This window comes from Homo sapiens, chromosome 20, assembly GCF_000001405.40.
Source record: "Homo sapiens chromosome 20, GRCh38.p14 Primary Assembly".
Taxonomy (NCBI): Eukaryota; Metazoa; Chordata; class Mammalia; order Primates; family Hominidae; genus Homo; species Homo sapiens.
The window spans coordinates 35365808-35387973 of record NC_000020.11 but is presented as its reverse complement, the minus strand read 5'-3'; the positions used below and the strand labels follow the sequence as shown (position 1 = coordinate 35387973).

Here is a 22166-nt window from a genome sequence, read left to right as displayed (position 1 = left end):
TTATAAGATTGTTGTGAGATAACATAAGTAAAACACCAAGCATGTAGGTAGGTACTAGACATACAGGAGATCTTCAGTAAGTTGCAATTGCTATTTTTGTTGCTATTTATGTTCCTGTTGCTTGGGAAAGTTTTCTCCTCACTGTATGAAATGAAACTTAAAAAAAAAAAAAAAAGTTGTCCTAAAATTACCTTTACCAAATTGCAACCTCTCCCTTTGTCTTAGTTTCCTCATCTGTGAAGTGAAAAGGTTGGACCAGAATATCTCTGAGATTTCTTCCAGCTCAAGTGTTGTTATTCTGAGTTACTCTTTAGTTCTTCAGTTGCCTTTTCTCCAAGCTAAACAGCCTAAATTCCTTTTGACCTTTCCACTAGGACCTTTTATTCATCCCTTTGATCATTCCTGTGGTTCTTTTTTTGGACGTTCTCCAAAGTTGTCCTCTTTGAAAAAAAAAAAAAATCCACCTAGTTTTTATTGAGTAATGACTTCATGCCCAGAATGGTGTTGAGTATTGGGACAGAAAATGACAGACATATAAGATGGGCTGTGCCCTGGAGCTTATAGTTGCTAAAAGGAGCAGACACACACGCCCATGGTATTCAAGAATCGCTTGAGTTTGTCCCAGCACCCCCTTTCTACTTCTCTGCCTCTGTCATTCTTGTTTTTTTATTTTTTATTTTTATTTTTTGAGACAGAGCCTTGCTCTGTCACCCAGGCTGGAGTGCAGTGGCATGATCTTGGCTCACTGTAACCTCCGCCTTCTGGGTTCAAACGATTCTCCTGCCTCAGCCTCCTGAGTAGCTGGGATTACAGGCACACACCACCATGCCTGGCTAATTTTTGTTTTTTTTTGGAGGGGGGTAGAGATGGTGGTTTGCCATGTTGCCCAGGCTGGTCTCTAACTCCTGGACTCAGGCAACCCTCCCGCCTCGGCCTCCCAAAGTGTTGGGATTACAGGCGTCAGCCACCACGCCCAGCCTATTGATATTTTCTAATCTAAGCAAAGGAAAAATTGAGGTCTTTAAGGGTCGAGTGAATTTTTTGCGGGAAGTGCAAGGACAAGAGTGGGTAGTACAAAAAAGTAAATGTGTGTGTTTATAAGTGTGTAGGTGTGGAGAAACTAGATGTCCTTGATACTAGATACATAGGTACTTTAGTAGTTCAATATAGTGTGAAATGTTAGCTAATGGTAGGATAGAAATACAGTAGATGGTAGGACAGCCACAGAAGGAATCTACTGGTTACTCCTAGAGCTGTGAGGAAAAAGAAGGATCTAATAGAACCTAATAGAAGAGGACCCAGCCCAAAGCACAGCTTGTGGAAACTGCTGTTGGCTGTGTTCTTTGAACCAGTTTAAGTGCTTTGTGTTTTAGGTGGACCATTGCATTGATGTATGTGATGTAATGGGGAGGTGTTCTGTGTTTAGTCTGTGTTTTACAAAGCCTGCTTGATACTTATGAATTAAAGCCTAAGTGTCCTTGGGACTGACCAGAAGAATCCTGACTAATTTTTTAATATCCTCGTTTGGAAAGAAAAGTAAATAGTAACATTCCACAATTAGAAATTCTATTTTTTCTTCGTTAGGGTTAAAGAAAAAAAATCATTTTCATTCCATGTGTTCCATTTCTTCTTGGAATAAACCAGAATTGAAGAGTCAGCCCTCTTCCTGCTCCCTCTCACCCTTTTTTATTGTAAAGGTAATATAGCATTAGTGAGAGTTTGGAAACTAGATTTTTTTTTTTTTGCCAGAATTATTTTGGCTATAGATTCTTAAATTTATCCATAATTCTAACTTAACAAAATAACTCTTTGGTTTCTTGTGTGTTCTTTCTAAACTTGCCCATATGCAGTCTACGCAGTCATGTTTTACCTATAATTTTATACATATTATAAGCATTTAACATTTTTCATGTTGTTAACAATAATAATAATCTCTGAGTAAACCGTGCAGTCTGAGTGATGATGATGTGTCAGTGTAGGTTTGTTCTTTGTATCAAATGCACCACTCTGGTATGGGATGTTGATGGCGGGGGAGGCTGTGCATGTGGGGGAAGGGGTATGTGGGAACTCTGCCCTTTCCAGGAAGTTTTGCTATGAGCCTAAAACTGCTGTTAAAAAAAAAAAAAAAAGTCTATTTAAAAAAAAAAAAATCCCAGCCAGGCACCCAGGCTCATGCCTGTAGTCCCATTTTGGGAGTTCAAGGCATTTTGGGAGTTCAAGGCAGGAAGATCACTCACTTGAGCCCAGGAGTTTGAGGCCAGCCTGGGCAACATATGGAGACACTGTCTCTACAAAAATACAAAAATCAGCAGGGTGTGATGACAGATGCCTGTAGTCCCAGCAACTCAGGAGGCTGAGGCAGGAGAATTGCTTGAGCCGGGGAGGTGGAGGTTGCAGTCAGCTGAGATTGCACCACTGCACTCCAGCCTGGGCCATAGAGCCAGACCTTGTCTCAAAAAACAAAAACAAAACAACAACAACAAAAACAAAACAAAAAACCCTCAATGGATACCTGATTTTCCACTGAGTGACTGAACTTTCATTAACCATCTCCTTAATGGACTTTCCTCCCAGTTTTCATTCTGTATAGTATCTGGCACATAATAACGGCTATTTTATTGCCAAATTGTTTTTAAATGCAATGTGAACATGAAAAAGGTGGCGATTGTGATCCAAACAATAATGCTGGTGATGATAGTGATGATGGAAACTTCTGCTATTTATTGAGTGCCTATTTTGTGAAAGGCACTTTATATATCTTACCTTCTTTCATCCTTACTGCAACTGAGGTTCAGTAAGTTTTCCATGGCCACTGAGCTTGTCGTAGGCGACAGAAGCAGGTTTTAAACCTAAAAGTGGCTGGTGTCTTTATTTTTTTCCCCATATACGGCACTGCTGCCCATATTTAAATAGATAGATACTACAGTTCTGTTTCCTAGAATTGACTTAGATGTAGTTCCAGGTTTCCAGGGCTGAATTCTTTTTTTTTTTTTTTTTTTTTTTTTTTGAGACCGATTCTTGCTGTGTTGCCCAGGCTGGAGTGCAGTGGCATGATATTGGTTCACTGCAACCTTTGCCTCCTCAGTTCAAGCTATTCTCCTGCCTCAGCCTCCTGAGTAACTGGGATTACAGGCATGTGCCACCACACCTGGCTAATTTTTTGTATTTTTAGTAGAGATGGGGTTTCACCATATTGGCCAGGCTCTCAAACTCCTGACCTCAAGTGATCCATCCACCTCGGCCTCCCAAAGTGCTGGGATTACAGGTGTGAGCCACGCCACCTGGCCTTTGAATTCACTCTCTCTCTCTCTTTTTTTTTTTTTTTACAGACAGGGTCTTGCTCTTGCTGAGTCGCCCAGGTTGAAGTGCAGTGGTGTGATGATAGCTCCCTGCAGCCTCGATCTTCTGGGCTCAAGTGATCCTCCCACCTCAGCCTCCCAAGCAGCTTAAGACTATAGGCATGCACCACCACACCCAGCCAATTAAAAAAAAATTTGTAGAAATAGAGTCTTGCTATGTTCCCCAGGCTGAGTCTTAAACTCTGGCCTCAAGCAATCCTCTCACCTTGACCTCCCAAAGTGTTGGAATTACAGGTGTGAGCTATTGTGCCTGGCCCAAATTCTTTTATTTCTTCAGGTATTCAACAGATATTTCTTGGGCATCTACCATGTACTAGACACCCTTCTAGGTGCTGATCTTGGGTCTTCCTGGTGAGCTGATCACGGGGAAGTGGGCTAAGTAAGGTTGGAAAGATCCTATAGTCTTTACTTTGAAACAGCTCTGTTCAGATTAACCCTGTAAGTGCTCAGTGTTGCATAGATCTGTGTTTTTATTCTTCAGTGGCCCCAGATGAGCCAGTCCCGAGCATGTGGTGGATCAGAACAGATTCCTGGAATAGACATACAGCTGAATAGGAAGTATCACACCACACGTAAGGTGAGAATTATCAGTGCATTCTGTGTTTATAGAGTGCTTTCACACAGGTGTTCTTTGGATCTCAACAAAATTGTTAGCTAGGTGAGTTTTAGCGAATGCAGAAGGTGAGGCTCAGGGGGTAAAGTGACTTGCCCAAGGTCACAAGGATGGTAAGTAAGTGGCAGACAAAATGAATTTTTTTTTTTCAGGGACAAGGTCTTGCTCTGTCACCCAGGCTAGAGTAGAGTGGTGCCTTCATAGCTGACTGTAGTCTCGAACTCCCAAGCTCGAGCTATCCTCCTGCCTCAGCCTTCTGAATAGCTGAGACTTACAGTCATGCACCACTGTGTACTGCCAATTTTTAAATTTTTGTAGAGACCAGGGTCTCGTTTTGTTACCTAGGTTGGTCTCAAACTCCTGGCTTCAAGCGATCCTCCTGCCTCAGCCTCCCTAAGTGCTGGGATTGTTTTTAAAATTTTTTTTAACAGATGAGGTCTTGCTCTGTTACCCTGGTGGAGTGCAGTGGCATGATCATGGCTCACTACTGCCTTGAACTCCTGGGCTTAGGTGATCCTCCCACCTCGGCCTCCCAAAGTACTGGGATTACTGAGATTATAGGTGTGAGCCACCATGCCAGCCTGAATATTTGGACCTAAGCCTTCTGAGGCTATGTCCTATGTTTCTTCCATTGTTGTGTCTGGAAAACACTTAAGAGGAAAACATATGAATTTTTTACATGTTAAAAATAAAGTGATATTTAACTTTTGGATAATTTTTTATTGGTTAGATAGCTTGCCTTTGCTTGGAGAGGGTTAACATTAGAACAGACTTTCCTTGGAGGTTATTTGCAAACTACAAGACTCTGTAGTCATTAATAAAATTTGTGATACCTTTACTAAAAAATGCAAGAGTTTAAAAACATTCAGTGCTTGATTGCAGTTTTGAATGACTTTTGACTGCTTTCAGGCAGTATTTTTTTTTCCTTTTCCTATTACATCAATAAGCATAGAATGTTTTACTTCTCAGAATTGTTCTTGGGAGATGGGGGTCAAGATTTCCTTTTAAAAGTCTTCTTTTTGATAGAACTTTTATTCTAATACCCCACATCTGTCATCTGCTAGATATGGGTTAATAGACATACAGTCAATGAGGTAGGCATGTCTTGCTCTGAAATTTGGAGGGCATCTATTAGGTACAGTTCCAAATGTGTTTTCACTGAATGATAAGATGCTTAAAAAAATGAAAATTAGGCCGGGCGCGGTGGCTCACGCCTGTAATCCCAGCACTTTGGGAGGCCGAGGCGGGCAGATCATGCGGTCAGGAGATCTAGACCATCCTGGCTAACACGGTGAAACTCCATCTCTATTAAAAATACAAAAAAATTAGCCGGGCGTGGTGGTGGGTGCCTGTCCCAGCTACTCGGGAGGCTGAGGCAGGAGAATGGCGGGAACCCGGGAGGCGGAGCTTGCAGTGAGCCGAGATCTCGCCACTGCACTCCAGCCTGGGCGACAGAGCAAGACTCTGTCTCAAAAAAAAAAAAAAAAAAGAAAAAAGAAAAAAAAAAGAAAATTAAAAATTGTAGGTGAAAACAAAAATCTAAGCAATAAAAATGCCCTCAGCCCAAGCATGGTGGCTCACACCTGTAATCCCAGCATTTGGGGAGGCTGAAGCAGGAAGATTGCTTGAGGCCAAGAGTTTGAGACCAGCCTAGGCAATAGGCTATGGACCCCCCCTCTCCAGAGAACAACAGGCTGTGGACCCCACCTCCACAGAAAATTTAAAAAATTGACTTGGCGTGATGGCGTGCACCTGTAATCCCAGCTACTTGGGAGGCTGAGGCAGGAGGATCACTTGAGCCCAGAAGTTTGAGGCTGCAGTGAGCTATGATTGTGCCACTTCACTTTAGCCTGGGTGAGGGGAGGAGACCCTGACTGTATTTAAAAAAAAAATGCTCTCAGACCTGATGAGGAACAAAGCATTCTATTAAAAATTTTTTGCAACTAATTTTAGTTTTTTTCTTTTTGGTTAATCAGCTTTCTACTACCAAAGATTCCCCACAGCCTGTTGAGGAGAAGGTTGGTGCTTTCACAAAGATAATAGAAGCCATGGGATTCACGGGACCTTTGAAATACAGTAAATGGGTAAAGTCCTTTAAGTTCTTCTCATTTTTCCTTTTGGGCATTGTGCTTTCTGCTCCTAATAGATTTTTTAAAGCTTCTGCTTTGCTTTCATGGAATTCATACATTATTTTGGATGTGAGGACGATCTAGCTGCGACATCTGTCACCCCATTGATCACCAGGGTTGATTCGGCTGATCTGGCTGGGTAGGCGGGTGTCCCCTTCCTCCTTGACCACTCTATGTGCGACCTTTTTGAAGCTGTGTTCTTGGTTGAAGAGGATGACCTTCTCCAATAGAGGAGGACCATTCTTTGATCAAGGGTATATGAGTAGCTGCACTCCCCTGCCAGAACCTCCCAAGTAAGCTCTCAAGGTCCATACATTATTCTGATAACTTCTTCAAAATATCTTTGCCCACGTGCCACAACCTCTTGCTGCTTCCAGTCAGATCTATACAACATGTGGGGCTGAACTAGTCCCTCCACCTGATTCCTTAGAAGCATCTCATAGTAGCAGGCATGGCAACAAGACTGGGCTTTCCAGGCCCTTGCTGCATGGTATGCCATATAGATGACTTCTGAGGGGTCAGATGGGCCAAATGTTCTGATTGGCAACATTCTTAAGGAAGCATTACTTTCTGATGGACCCATATTTTATAAGGGATTTTCTTTAAAATTTTACTAATCATCTTTTTATTAACTAATTAAGCCCACGATCTATTGTAATTCTTATTATGGAGGGATATTTGTTAACCATGTCACTCCCAGTCAACTCTTGGCCTAGCACATTATCTGTTATAATAGTAGTGGCTATAAATGAATGAATGTCCTCTCTGCCTCAGATGCATACTGCCCCTGGGCTTTTATAATAATACCTCTAACCAATTATAGAAATAAAACATCAGCGATTCAGTTCTTCTCAGCCCACTTATCTCCTAGAACAGGTTGAGCATCCCAAATTGGAAAATTGGAAATTCAAAATCTAAAACGTTTGGAGTTTTTAGACATGATGCCCCAGGGAAATGCTCACTGGAGCATTTTGGATTTTTGGATTTGGGATGCTCAGCTGGTAAGTATAATGCAAAGCATCCAAAATCCCCCCAAATCCAAAATTCAAAACACTGCTGTTTCCACACGTTTCAGATAAGGAATACTCAACCTGTAATACCATTTCTCTCTTTCACTATGGCAGAAGTGCCTTTTAATGCCTTTCAGGGTTGCTGGAATATTGGGTAAGCCTAATCAGTCATAAGTCAAAGCAAGCCCACTCAAAGCAGTAGGGAAGATTTTTCTAGAAAATATATAAGCTTTACTGAGAACAACCAAGTAATGCCACTTACACCATTTTAACAAGTTGGATTCAAATTAGAATTTCAATTTTATTATAGACTTCTACTTGTGGTTTCTTCTTATGGTGTCTGGTTCTCTTTCTAACAATTCTCACTACAGCAAATATGAGCTTCTCTCTATAATTACTCTTTTACCTGAATTCTGAAAAGTGAACAGTAATTCCACAAGCATTTTGTTTTTAAGGAGCTTTGAAAAAATATAGAAAGAACACAAATACTGACAATGATGTTCTTGAGTCCCTAAGGTTATGAAGTATCTTCTTAATTGCCAATGAAATATTAGTTATGTTCTTTAAAGTTGTATTTTTTAATATCTTAATTTTTGACACTTGATAATTGTTGATATACTTGGTAATGTTTTTAACCAGAATCTTTTCCCCTATTAAAAAAATGTTATGCTTATGGCATTTGGATTTACAAACTTAAAGTATATGTTTTGTTTGAAAATTAGAAATTAAGAGGGAAGTCAAAACAAAAAAAAGAAAAGAAACATTTACAGTTTTATTCATTTCTTGGTGATTGGGTTCCACTTGGTTGCTACCATATGTTTTGTCTAGGCTGTTTTTTAATGATTCTAGAGAGAAAATTGGCTATCATTTGGAGGATTACTAAATCATCAGGAAAATTCCTTTGCTCTTTTAGCCTAAGTTAGCCTCTGATTTTTCTTGGTTCCCTTGTGACATCAACTAAATCCCTAATGTTTGCATTTTAAAACTCTTGTGATGTGATGGTGTGTACTTTCTATAACCTTCATTTTATTTTATTTAATTTTAATTTTATTTTTTTGAGACAGAGTCTCACTCTGTCACCCAGGCTGGAGTACAGTAGCGTGATCTCAGCCTACTGTAACCTCCGCCTCCCAGGTTCAAGCAATTTTCCTGCCTCAGCCTCCTAAGTAGCTGGGACTACAGGCGCATGCCACCACACCTGGCTGACTTTTGTATTTTTAGTAGAGATGGGGTTTCACCATGTTGGGCCAGCCTGGTCTCCAACTCCTGACCTCAAGTGATTCCGCCTGCCTTGGCCTCCCAAAGTGCTGGGATTATAGGATTGAGCCACTGCGCCCAGCCTATAACCTTCATTTTAAAATTTGTTACATCACAATATCAACGTATGACATTCTAGTGTAATTGAGATGTGAAAATGTATGTGTAACTTTTCATTTTGAAAAACAGAACCGTTTTCAGCAATGTTGACTCAAATCAATGCACTTGTATTGGATTGCACTGGCAAAATTATTTGTTTTGTGTTTTCACATGTATTTGATTAGGGAGTAAAATACCTGCATGTCTGTCCACATCAGCAGTATCAGCTATCTTTTCTCTATCTTTTTCTTTAGGTTTCATGTGTTATTCCCATGTTTGATAATCATGTTTAGGATCTTAAATGTAGCTTTCCCTTACCTATTTGAGTATCTTGGAATCATCATTTTAAAAAATTACCTTTATATGCAGTATCAGGTGAGATAAGCACAATATTTACCCAACTCAGCCACATGCCATAGAATAGGTTTCCATATTAGCATTAAGCCAAAAAGTTATTCCTATTCTGAAGGACACTGACAAACTGGAATGTATTCAGAGGTAGGCAGTGAGCCTTATGAACATTTCAGAAACTGTTAAGAACGGTTGAAGGAAATAGGGATGCTTAGCCTGGAAAAGAGAAGACAGGATGATTCTTCTCAGGTATTTGAGGGGCAAATGTGAAAAAAAGAAGGTATTCCAGTGGGCAGAATAATGTTCAATGAATGTTATATGAAGCAGATTTTAAGTTTAGCAAAATAAGAATCTAACAAGAATTGTCCTCAGGTGGGACAGGTAGCCTTACAAGGTCATTGGTCTTGTTTGAACAGAGGCCCAGATGGTTGACTGTGAATCAAGAATGCTGTAGAAGGATTTCCAGTAGACAATAGAAGGTTCAAATTACTTAAAACACCCTTCTAACTCTTTTTTATCTTTTTTTGAGTTGGAGTCTCGCTCTGTCGCCCAGGCTGGAGTGCAGTGGCGCGATCTCGGCTCACTGCAACCTCTGCCTCCCAAGTTCAAGCAATTCTCCTGCCTCAGCCTCCCGAGTAGCTGGGATTACAGGTGCCTGCCACCACGCCCAGCTAATTTTTGTATTTTTAGTAGAGATGAGGTTTCATCATACTGGCCACCCTGGTCTCTTGGCCAGGCTGGTCTCAGAACTCCTGACCTCATGATCCGCCCACCTCGGCCTCTCAAAGTGCTGGGATTACAGGCATGAGCCACCTTGCCAGGCCCTTTCAAACTCTTACATAGCTGTTAATGCAAGCATTTTACTAGATTTGTTTTTCATCCTGTAGGATGTTAAAAAATGCATTAGTTCGTGGGAGAGCAGATTTTCATTTCCTAAAGCTGTTCAAGGTGCCTCTCTTTTACTCAAGTAAAAGATGACTGATGAAGTCTTCTAAAATTAAAATGAAATAAATATGAAGTCATCCAAGGACCAGAACAACTTGTATTGACTGGTTGAAAATTCAGTCCCCCTACGTCCTTAACTCAGATCAGTGCATGATTCTTGATGAGGTTCTTTCCTCAAGTTATTATTTCCAGTCTCTGTGTGATAGTCTTTAGAGACTTGTTTTAGAGATTTGTCCAGGAAAATGGCTCACCCAAGTATAAAGGCTTGGCCTTGCAGCAGGAAAAGTGAAGAACTATAAAATGCTCCTGATTGCCATAGCATGAGCACTGAAAACATACTCTGGCCAATCTGGTGAAGTCTTCATTGTTTGTGATGAATGCTTTTTCACAAACGTGTTGTTGGGGAAGCTTCCTTCTCAAGGAAAGACTTGGGCCTTGGGCCTTGAAGGCAAGTCTCCAGGCAAGGTGATTAATTATGAACCCAGGACTTTATATATAGGAATCTGAAGGAGATTACAAGATTTAAAAAAATCAAGAAATAGATGATTAGAAATTTTAGTTAAAGTTACATACTTGTCTGTAGCTGAACTGGGCCGTAAGCTCCATGAGAGTAGAGATTTTTGTCTGTTTTGCCCACTGCTCTATTCTCATCATCCAGATCAGTGCCAGGCACTGAGTTATGTACTCAGTGAATTATTGGATGAAGTGAGGAGCTAGGGCAGATGTCCTGAACTCCCTGTCTTAAGGATAGGAGTAGGCCTGTCAAGGCCAAATTATTAGGATCATGATATTATTAGATTATCATTAGTTTGGTAATGGCACAGACCAGTGCTTCCCAAGATGTGTTCTGTGGTCAGATACTTCCTAGAACTGCAAGTGTTAACAAAATTAAACAGGCTTTTTTTGGTCTGTTGATATGGTGAAACTGATTGATTTGTCAGTGTTGAATTATCTTTGCATTCCTGGGATAAATTTCACTTGATTATGATATACTATCCTTTTAAAAATATTGATGGATTTAATTTTAAAATATTTTCTTAAGGAATTTTGCATCAATGATCTATGTTCATGAAGGCTATTGTTCTGTAGTTTTGTTTTCTCCTAATGACTTTGATTTTGATATCAGGATAAGGTTGGCCTTATTGAATGAGCTGGGAAATATCCTTTCTTCTTGTTTTCTGGCAGAGTTTGTGTAGATTTCGTAACATTTCCTTTTTTCCTTTTCTTTTTCTTTTTTTTTTTGTTTTGTTTTGTTTTGTTTTGAGATGGAGTCTCACTCTGTCGCCAGGCTGGAGTGCAGTGGCGCACTCAGCTCACTGCAACCTCTGCCTCCTGGGTTCAAGCGATTCTTCTGCCTCAGCCTGGGACTACAGGCGCGTACCACCACACCCAGCTAATTTTTGTATATTTAGTAGAGATGGAGTTTCACCATGTTGGCCAGGATGGTCTCAATCTCTTGACCTCGTGATCCGCCCACCTCAGTCTCTCAAAGTGCTGGGATTACAGGTGTGAGCCACCGCGCCTGGCTGATTTCATAACATTTCTTTAGATGTTCAGTACAGTTCTCTAGTGATGCTATCTGGGTCTGCAGTTTGCATTGTGGGGAGGTTTTTAAAGACAAATCCAATTTCTTTAATAGATACAAGACTGTTCATGTTATTTATTTTAGTGAGCTTTAATAGTTTGTATCTTTCAAGGAATTTGTCCATTTCATCTAAGTAATCACATTCATTGGAGTAAAGTTGTTCATAGGATTCCCTTATTATCCTTTTAATGTCTTTAGGATATGCAGTGATGTCTGCTCTCTGATTCCTGATACTGAAAATTTGTATCTTATGTGTTTTGGGCTTTTCTTTTTCCTTGATCAGTTTTATAGGTTATCAATTTTATTGATTTTTTTTTTGAGGCGGAGTCTGGCTCTGTCGCCCAGGCTGGAGTGCAGTGGCACAATCTCGGCTCACTGCATCCTCTCCCTCCCAGGTTCAAGTGATTCTCCTGTCTCAGCCTCCCAAGTAACTGGGATTACAGGCGCCTGCCACCATGCCTGGCTAATTTTTGTATTTTTAGTAGAGTCGGGGTTTCACCATGTTGGCCAGGCTGGTCTCGAAATCCTGACCTCAGTTGATCTTCCTGCCTTGGCCTCTCAAAGTGCTGGGATTAGTGAGCCGGGTGGGTGAGCCACCACAACCCAACCTAATTTTATTGATATTTTTAAAGAAACGGCTTTGGCTTCAATTTTCCTTTTTTTTTTTTTTTTTTTTTTAGGCAAGGTCCAGCTCTGTCACCCAGGCTGGAGTGCAGTGGCGTGATCTCAGCTTGCTGCAACCTCCGCCTTCCAGGCTCAGCCTCCTACCTCAGCCTCCTGAGTAGCTGGTACTATAGGCACACACCACCATGGCCAGCTAATTTTTGTATTTTTGGTAGAGATGGAAACGTTTTGCCATGTTTCCCAGGTTGGTCTCCAACTCCTGGGCTCAGCCGATCTGCCTGTCTCAGCCTCCTAAAGTGCTGGGATTACAGGCGTGAGCCACCATGCCTGGCCTGGCTTGAATTTTCTGTATTTTATCTTCCTGTTTCAGTTTTGTTGATTTCTGATCTTTACTATATCATTCTTTCTGCTTGCTTTTAGGTTTAATTTGCTTTGCTTTTCTAGCATTTCACCATGGGTTTTGTTTAAACGTGGGCTTCTAATGCTGATTTACTCCCCAGATAGGGATATCTGATTTTTATTTGTCTATTTCTATATGTCCTATTTTCCCCTGTATTAACTTTAGACTGGAAGCTCTTAAAAACATGACAGATCTCAAGTTAGCAAATAAAATATCTTAATTACAATCAGAGACGTAATCATTCTTTAATTTGCTATGGGTATTTCTACCCATCAGAGACACTTGCTTTAACTCTAGAGAATTTAGAAAAACATGAACATTATATAGTTTTGGGTATAGTATGTTCTTGGTGACTTTAAACCTTAGTATCATAGCTCCACTAAATTCTAGATTGGTTTTTCTTCAGTTGCTATGTCATTCTCAGCCTGTACACATTTGTTTTTGGTCTATGCATATTTGAGTTTATAACTTTCCCTGTTGTTATAAGAAAAAATAAGCTTCTAGAAGCCTTGTTGAAGTGCTCATTTATTTAGTTATATCCTTAATGAAATGTTTTGAAAGTCCTTAAAATACCTGTTCCTAGAGTGCTGAGTTGGTCTTCAGACCCATAAGTCAACTCTTAAATAATTTATTTTTAGATTTATTTTTATTAAGGCATAATTTATATACAGTGTAATATAAAAATCTTAAGTATACAGCTCAGTGAAAAAATTAAAACCACCACTCATATCAAAAGCCTAAGAGAATTCCTAGTGCTTTGGGAATAGTAAAAGTTTGATTCTTATATTGTATTTTACAGTCATTAGAAACCCTTATTTACAGACACAGTGTTAATCAGCAAACTATAAAATTAAAGATCTGGAAAAAAGATACCGCTTACTCCATCCCCCGAGATTTATAGAATAGATAGTAGTGCCTCTGAGGAAAGATTAAAGGCTTGAGGGTTTTTGTATATTTCTTTGATTTTGGCCAGAAGAATGTGTACTTTTTTACTATAAAGGATTTCAGATTCTAAAGAGTTAATGTGGATAATGCTGAACAGTGATTTAGAGGCACAAATGTGGTGAAGTAGGTTGGAATTAAATGAGAGATTTCATTTAAATATTGGAAAAGCCTTTCTGAGGTTTTCATGCTAAAGTCCTAAAATATGAAAATTGTGTGAAGTCTGTATGAATGGCTAAGCTCTAAGAAAACAAAAAAAATTTATATTGGTTTAAATTACCTAGAGAGTGGTTTGGACCCTTCCTTCTAGTTGAAGAAATATAAGATTTTGTGACCCATGTCTAATGGAAGTAGAACATCCACTTGGTCATGTCTTGAGTTTGGTTTTATTCTCTTTGTCTAGAAGATTAAGATTGCGGCCCTGCGCATGTATACTAGCTGTGTGGAGAAAACTGACTTCGAGGAATTCTTTCTAAGTAAGTTATTGTTTGATAGTACTGAAAAGGAGAACAAATCTACATTTCATTTTTATGGTTGTGTTTTAATAGGATAGGTTTTTTTAGTCCCTAGTGAAACAGTTTTTCCTGCACAAAGCATATAATCCAAACTGTCTATTTGTCTCTTTAAAAAACTTCTTGTATATATTTCTTTAGAGACAAGGGTCTTGCTGTGTTGCCCGGGCTGGCCTAAAACTCCTGGGCTCAAGCAGTCCTACCACCTCAGCCTCCTGAATAGTAGCTGGGACTAAAAGCACATGGCACTGTACCCAGCTGCTTTTCTTTTTTAATAGAGTAAACAGAGAGCAAAAGGATCCTATAAATAAAACATTTTGCTTATTTTGAAAAAACAAACAAACTGTACTTTGACATTATCTCCCTTGTCCACACATGCATCTTTTTACATAAGAGTATTCATATCATAGTAAACATATTCTGTTTTACAGTCTGGATGGTTTTTTTTTTTTTTTTTTTTGAGATGGAGTCTTGCTCTATTAGCCCAGGCCGGAGTGCAGTGGTACGATCTTGGCTCAGTGTAACCTCCACCTCTCCACCTCCCAGGTTCAAGCAATTTTCCTGCCTCGGCCTCCCGAATAGCTGGGATTACAGGCATGTGCCACCATACCCAGCTAATTTTTGTATTTTTAGTTGACATGGGGTTTCACCATGTTGGCTAGGCTGGTCTCAAACTCCTGACCTCACGTGATCCGCCCTCCTTGGCCTCCCAAAATGCTGGGATTACAGGCGTGAGCCACTGTGCCTGGCCCATTCTGGATGTTTTACTTAGCATTTTGACATGGACGTTTGGCCAGCTATTCCTGTTTTTAATTTTTAATTGTTTTAATTAATCCTGGATTAATTATGATTTTTCTCATGTTAAAAGACTATTGGGTCAAAAGGCATATATAATTTTATTATGTATATCTCATTGATAAATTGCTTTCCAAAAGGGTTTTGCTGGTTTAGACTGTCAGAAGCAGTTGATTGTTATCACAGTATTAATTTTGATGCTGTAAACAGTTATATTATTAACAAAGTTAATTAAAGCAGGTACTTGTAATTGGGAGAGATTAAATCATTTCCAGTTCCACAGGTTTTGGAAGGAAATGTATGCTGTGTACTTCTGTGGTAATAGTCACATCCTCAAAGCAGCATACACCTAACTGTATACATTTGAGATTTTTCTCTAGCAGCAAATATTTGTATATAATTGTGTTCACAACAATGAAGAAAGCTGGGTGCAGTTTTGGTTATTTAATAACTATTTTTTTGTTGCATCGTGTTTTTTGAGACTTGCTTTGAGTCTTGCTCTATTGCCCAGATTGGAGTGGAGTGGTGCCATCTTGGCTCACTGCTACCTCCACCTCCCAGTTTCAAGTGATTCTTGTTCCTCAGCCTCCTGAGTAGCTGGGACTACAGGTGCACGCCACCATGCCCAGCTAAGTTTTGTATTTTTTTTAGTAGAGACAGGGTTTGGCTATGTTGGCCAGGCTGGTCTCAAACTCTTGGCCTCACATGATCCACCTGCCTTAGTCTCCCAACCCAAAGTTCCGGATTACAGGCGTGAGCCATGGGACCTGGCCTATTTTGGTTTTTAAAAATCAAATAAATACAAATCATTTTATTTTACTGTCTCAGCAGATTGACACCAAAAACTGAAATACCATACTGAATTATAATTCCAATTTAGTGTTCACCTTTCCTTTCTTCTTTATTCATAACCTGGAAAGAATATTTTCCTGCTTCTTTGTTAGTCTAGGATAAGTTAGTCCAAAAGGAAAAAATATTTTTTCTCTATCTGATGAAGCTATTAATATTAGAAACTGCTTTTTTTCTTTTTCTTTTTTTTTTTTTGAGACAGAATCTCAATCTGTCACCCAGGCTGGACTGCAGTGGTGTGATCTCGGCTCACTGCAACCTCTGCCTCCCGGATTCAAGCAATTCTGCCTCAGCCTCCCAAGTAGCTGGGATTACAGGCATGTGCTACCATGCCCGGCTAATTTTTTTGTACTTTTAGTAGAGACGAGGTTTCACCATATTGGCCAGGCTGGTCTCGAACTCCTGACCTTGTGATCCACCCACCTCGACCTCCCAAAGTGCTGGGATTACAGGCGTGAGCCACCACACCCGGCCTCTTTTTCTTTTTTTTAAGAGATGATCTTGCTCTGTCACCTAGGCTGGAATCAGTGGCTCTAGCCCTTTTACTGCATCCTTTTACTCCTGGGCTCAAGCAACCCTCCCACCTCAGCCTCCTGAGTCGCTGGGACTACAAAGACATGCCATTATGCCTGGGTCATTTTTTTATTTTTATTTTTTGTAGAGACAGGGTCTCACTATGTTGCCCAGGCTGGTCTTGAACTCCTGGTCTTAGGCCTTAAGTGATCCTGCCTCAGCTTCCTGAAGTGCAGGGATTACAGGCATAAGCCACCATGCCCAGCCTGTTTTTTTTTTTTTTTTTTTTTTCTTTAAGTGCCTTCTTGAATCCATGTGTGAAGTATTTTTCATCAGGTCTTTTTAAAACCTCATCCTCAGGCTGGGCGCGGTGGCTCACGCCTGTAATCCCAGCACTTTGGGAGTCTGAAGTGGGTGAATCACTTGAGGTCAGGAGTTTGAGACCAGCCAGGCCAACATGGTGAAACCCCCACCCTCTACTAAAAATTAGCTGGGCATGGTGGTGGGTGCCTCTAATCCCAGCTACTCGGGAGGCCAAGGCAGGAGAATCACTTGAACCCGGGAGGCAGAGGTTGCAGTGAGTCGAGATCACACCACTGCACTCCAGCCTGGGCGACAGAGCAAGACTCCATCTCAAAAAAAAAAACAAAAAAAACCCTCATCCTCAGATGTCTATTTAATGTCTATTTTATATTTGATTCAATAAATAACTCAGAAATTTCTTAGAATTATTTTGAAAGGATGTTTACTAGATAACTTTGTCTTGGCCAGCTGTTCATTATTGAAGGTTCTTCAGTTAATATTGTAGTATTGAATAATAAGACTTTTTACGTATTTAACATATCATGTTTCAATTCATAGCCTGGTGTAAACTACTTATAAAACTTAAGAAAAGTTTATAAATAACTGTTTTATACTATTAGCTCATATAGTATGGTTTTATATTTGTCTCATTTAGGAGTTACAAAATATTGTGGGCTAGGAAGGGCTTGTATTACTGTTTTCATTTTGTTTTATTTTGTTTTCAGAAACAGTTGAGGCTCAAAGGGGCTAAGTGACTCACCCAGGGTTGCCTAGCCAAGCCTTGAACCTGTGTTGTCTGGTTTAAAATCCAGGGATTTCTCCACTATAACATATTGTCTGTGAATGAGTGTAATTGCAAATTAGAAAATGTAATTCATTTTAATATTTTTTGTATTTTGTTATATTTAAATGCAAACTACCTCTGTGAGATTTTCTATTAGTATTGGAAACTGATGTTTATACTAATTATAGTGTGAATCTATTGGTGAGCTTTGTCTTAGCTTAGTCTTTGAAGTAGTTACCTAGGGAGAAAGTAAATTTTTTAGTAACGCTACTCTTCAGGTTTTCTGAGACTCAATTTGAGAATTTCCTTTTGAGACCTATAGCATGTTCATTTTTATTACATTCTGTTGTGGCCCATCTTTGTCATTTGTGGGTAGATTAAGTTTTCATATCAAACCAAAGTGCTTCCAAACTGTGGCTAGTGAATAAAAAGGGAACAAATCTGGAATATACCTTCTGGATGCAGAAGATGACAAATATCTTTCAAATAATTACACTGACTTTCCTGTGGCTTGGATTCTAAAGAGTAGGCCAGACAGGTTTGAAATAAGAGAAAGGGGCTGGGTGCAGTGGCTCACACGTGTAATCCCAGCAGTTTGGGAAGCCAAGGCAGGAGGATCCCTTGAGCTGAGGAGTTCAAGACCAGCCTGGGCAGAAAAAAAAAAAAAAAGAAACAAGAGAAAGCAGTATATATATATTGCTTCCCAAGATTGTACTTTTTAAAGTGGTCATTGCTCACTTGGACTTGTGGTATTTTAGGGCTTAACTTTTGGAGTCCTGAGAATTCAGCAGCCCGCTGTTTCTTAGATATTTTGAGGATGTCTTTTGTCTGAGCATGTTGCACTGATGAGTACACTGCGGTTTGCTGACTGGTCTTTTAGAGATGTTTGCTGTGAAGAGCACTTTGGAGCAGAGGTGGTCAATCAGTAGAGCTCCTGTTGAATTCCACAGTGTTGTCTGCAGACTGCTTTGTCTTTAACCCTTAAGAGACTGGAGGCCTTGGAGAGGAGGCTCCTTAATGAATACATTCTGAGTCTGTGGTTGAGGTTTATCACTGATACAATCTGAAATAATTAGTGGGGTTTTTCAAAGATAATTTCAATTCTACTATTTAAATAATTTGCTGAAAACCAACAATAGTGAATATTTATTGAGTACCTACTAACTTAATACTAACCATTTTGCTAAACATTTTATAGGCCTTATCTCATTCTCACAAAAATCTTACAAGGTCAGTTATCTTGTTTTTCTCATTTTTACAGAGAAGAAAATTGAGTAATTTTACCCAGTGTCACATAGTGAGTGAGAGGTAGAGTCAAAGAATTGAATCAGGCAGTCTGACCCCACATTAAATGTACAACTGTGTTATGCTGCCACCCCATAACAGTAATGAACTATTTAATTGTATCCAACTTGATGTCAAGAAAGAAAGTGCCTAGCTTCAGAAACTAAAGCACTGAATGTGCATTGGAGCAAGAGTGTGATCATGGCAAAATACTACAGCAGGTTTTAACTTTGAAGTGTTTAAATGCATTTCATTGAACTAAAGAATCTGCTGTATTTTTGCATAGTTCACAGTCAACAGTCAATGGTGTTACTTTTTAGGGCTTTACCCTGTGGGTTTCTGTTCTGACACCAGTGTGTATAGGGACTCAATCATATGCCAGCACTTTTCCCACCCTCAGCCCTGAGGTGACCCCAGAAGGGGAAATGGTGACCCAAGTCCAGCTGCTGGCCTGTCTGTCTGTGCTTTCCAGCCCAAGAACTGATTCCCTCTCTGAGAAAATTGGAAAGGCTCCTGGAGGCTGCTGAGAAGCTTTGATGTAGAGGTAGCAATTGAACAGATTGTCCTTTAGAAGCAGCCAAATTTCATTTTCCAGATTGAAAGACAGACTTCCAAGAAAATTTTTCTTTTTAATGTTTTGTTCTAGCATCCAAAAAAGACCCAACTTCAGATCCGGGCTTCAGAGTTTCTCAGGGCTATTCTTGTCTAGGTGGAGGGTGGTTGGCCCATTCTCAGATGGCATGTGTCTTAATAGCTGTATGGCTGGCCAGGCCAGCCTTCAGCTCCCTCCTGCTGGGCTCTGAGAGGAAGTCGACTTGACAGCTGCTAGGCACCTCCCAGTAAGCTCACCAAAGTATTTTGGTGTCACTTTGTGACAGACTTGGATTCAAACTGCAGCCCTGCCACTAGCTTGTTAATATTGTGGCTGCCCACACGTTACTTAGTTTGAGTCTGTTTCCTCATCTCTAAAATGAGGATTATAATGCTTCCCTCCAGGGTTAAAGTGAGGATTGAGTGAGATAATGTATTGACATGGCTTGCAGTAGATCTGGTATGCAGATGGGCCCTTAGTGAGTTAGTTTCTGATAGTGGTATTAGAGAGGCTGTTAGAGCAGGATTAAGAACACAGTGTTTGGAATCAAGTAGATCTGAATTTGATCTCAGGTGTCTCTTTTCATAGCTGTATGACCTTGAACAGCAATTGTCTTGGTCTCTCTGAGTCAGTTTTCTTACCTGTCAATTTGGGATAATATCAATGCCTACCTCAGGGTTATTGGGAGGATTCATTGAGCTCATGGATGTAAAGAACCCAGTAGAACATCTGGCACATAGTAAGCCCGCAGTGAATTACAGCTCTTTATTATTGGTGCTGTTAATGTACCTCATGGGGGTCCGGGCCTATGTGTTATCTCCTAGTGTCCCCTCTTTGTTATCATTTAGTACATCATGTACCTTGATGGTTGCTGAAAAGCAGAGGATAGCGCTTCTTTCTTGAGTCATTGCCCCAAAGGACAGATTCTACCATAAGGGCCCAAATTCCCCACTTATTCTCTTTTTGCATCTTCCTCTTGCTCTGGCTTTTCTCCCTGTTATGTAATAAGGCGGGCACATTCAGTGGGAGACCCCTCATCCAGCAGGAGGCTTTTCTTAGCTGAGTGAGAATTGAGAGGCTTTGATGTCTGAGCACAGAACTAATTTGTGGGATCTGAAACCAAGGAGAAGCCCTTCCCAGTTTTGTCATTTCTGGGGGGGTGATGAACAGCCTTTCAGTAAGTACAATATGCTTTCTTATTCAGCTGCAGCTCCCTAGAGCCCTGATTTTTTTCGCCTGATCTTTTCTTTTTCTTTTTTCTTATTTTTGAGACAGGGTCTTGCTGTGTCACTCAGGCGTGAGTACAGTTAAATGATCTTGGCTCACTGTAACCTCTACCTCCCTGGCTCAAGTGATCATTCCACCTCAGCCTCCCAAGTAACTGGGACTATAGGTGCATGCCACCATGCCTAGCTAATGTTTGTAGTTTTTTGTAGAGATGGGGTCTCACTATGTTTCCCAGGCTGGTCTCAAACTCCTGGGCTCAAGCAATCCACCCACCTCAGCCTCCCTAAGTGCTGGGATTACAAGTGTGAGCCACTGCACCCAGCTCCTGGTCATTTCTTTTGGGCAAATCATTTAGCACACCCATATCCATAGCACATTGGGTACCTTAGAGAAAGAAGACAGGAAAAGGATACTAGAAAGACTTAAGCTTCTCAGTGGAGCCCAACTGAAAAAAGTAAGGGAGTGTTTGCCTAGCTTTTCAGAATTCAAGCCCATGGAGGGAAAATACTGTAGAAGCACACGGAAGCTGGAAGGAACCATAGAAATCATCTAGGCCACATTCTGCAAAGTGAGAAAACCAAGACTCAAAGGGGAGAAGTGATTTGTCCAAGGCCACATAACAAGCTGGTAACAGGGCTGGAACTAGAAGGCTGGTGGTCTGACTAAATTCAATGGGTTGTTTTTTTGTTTGTTTTTTTTTTTTTTTTTAGACAGAGTCTCACTCTATTGCCCAGGCTGGAGTGCAGTGACGTGATCTTGGCTCACTGCAACCTCCGCCTCCCAGGTTCAAGTAATTCTCCTGCCACAGCCTCTTCAGTAGCTGGGATTACAGGCGCCCACCACCACGCCTGGTTAATTTTTGTATTTTTAGTAGAGATGGGGTTTCGCCATGTTGGCCAGGCTGGTCTTGATCTCCTGACCTGAGGTGATCTGCCCACCTCGGCCTCCCAAAGTGCTGGAATTACAGGCATGAGCCACCGCATCCATCCTTTTTTTTTCTTTTACTCCTGGCGTGCTATGATTCAAAGTTCTTTTATCCTGTGGTCTCGCCCTATTGTTCTACTGGACTTTTCTGCAATAGCATAATCAGAGAGCACCATAAGTGCCGTGCCTGCCAATATTTAATATATGGTCAATATGCTTCCTTTAAACCCTCACATACTTATACCTTATTGTTATTTTCTAGGGTGTCAGATGCCTGATACATTCAATTCATGGTTTCTTATAACCCTACTCCACGTCTGGTAAGTGAGCAATTTAAATGAAGTCACCAAATGTATTTTTTTAAACACTGCTGACTTGTAAGGTATAGCCTTCAGGAGGGCTGATTATATGAAATGGCAGTTGTTCAGGTGTTAAAAACTGTTCCTTTCATTTTAATAACTGGTGTCTTGAAGCACATTTTTATTAAAGGTCAAAGCATAAGCCCAGAAGGAAACTAATATTTGTAGGATTTTTTCAGAGAACACCTAACCCAGTGAACAATGCTATCAGTATCTCTTAACACACTCTATGAGCTTGGATGGAAAGTTTTCTCTCCCTTGGCTGTTTTAGGAAAGTTCACATTTACGTAAAAGTGGTTTGAATTGTGAGAATCCGTGGTCATTTTCATTGCTGGTCATCAGAAACCTATAACAAATTATAGCACTGACATTTACGCCTGTACCTCTAAAATGTGCATACAAGTTAGCTTCATGCCAGGTTTGTTGCATGTAAAAATATTTAACACCTTAAACAGTATATTTTTTCTTCAGCTGTGAAATAAGTAGCCAAAAAAAATCAATTTTTCATCTAATGTTACACAGTATTAAAGGTCAGAAGGATATAGGAGAGTCGTTGAAGTCAGGGGCTGGGGAATGTATTTATTGAACTGCCAGATCTTGGGAAAGTAAATTCTGGAGAACTAAGTTTACTACTTTGACCATAGTGAGTATCTGAGGAACATGGGAATGGCTGCCCTGTCAAAAGGACCCTTGTTTGAGACTGCCTTCAG

The 22166-nt window shown here is 40.3% G+C and overlaps 1 protein-coding gene across 9 annotated transcripts in view; it reads left to right on the top strand.

Annotated features, from left to right (window-relative positions):
• The window catches only part of UQCC1 (ubiquinol-cytochrome c reductase complex assembly factor 1), a 109396-nt gene that overhangs the window by 24000 nt on the left and 63230 nt on the right, over positions 1-22166 (top strand). For 5 of the 9 annotated variants that reach the window (NM_199487.3, NM_018244.5, XM_011528877.2 and 2 more), the window contains 4 exons: positions 3841-3936; positions 5949-6056; positions 13718-13790; positions 21360-21417. In NM_199487.3, the coding sequence (NP_955781.2) occupies positions 3841-3936; positions 5949-6056; positions 13718-13790; positions 21360-21417 (335 nt within the window). Of the gene's footprint in view, positions 1-3840; positions 3937-5948; positions 6057-13717; positions 13791-21359; positions 21418-22166 lie in introns of those variants that run through there. The other 4 variants (XM_011528878.3, XM_011528881.4, NM_001184977.2 and 1 more) reach the window with 3 other exon arrangements.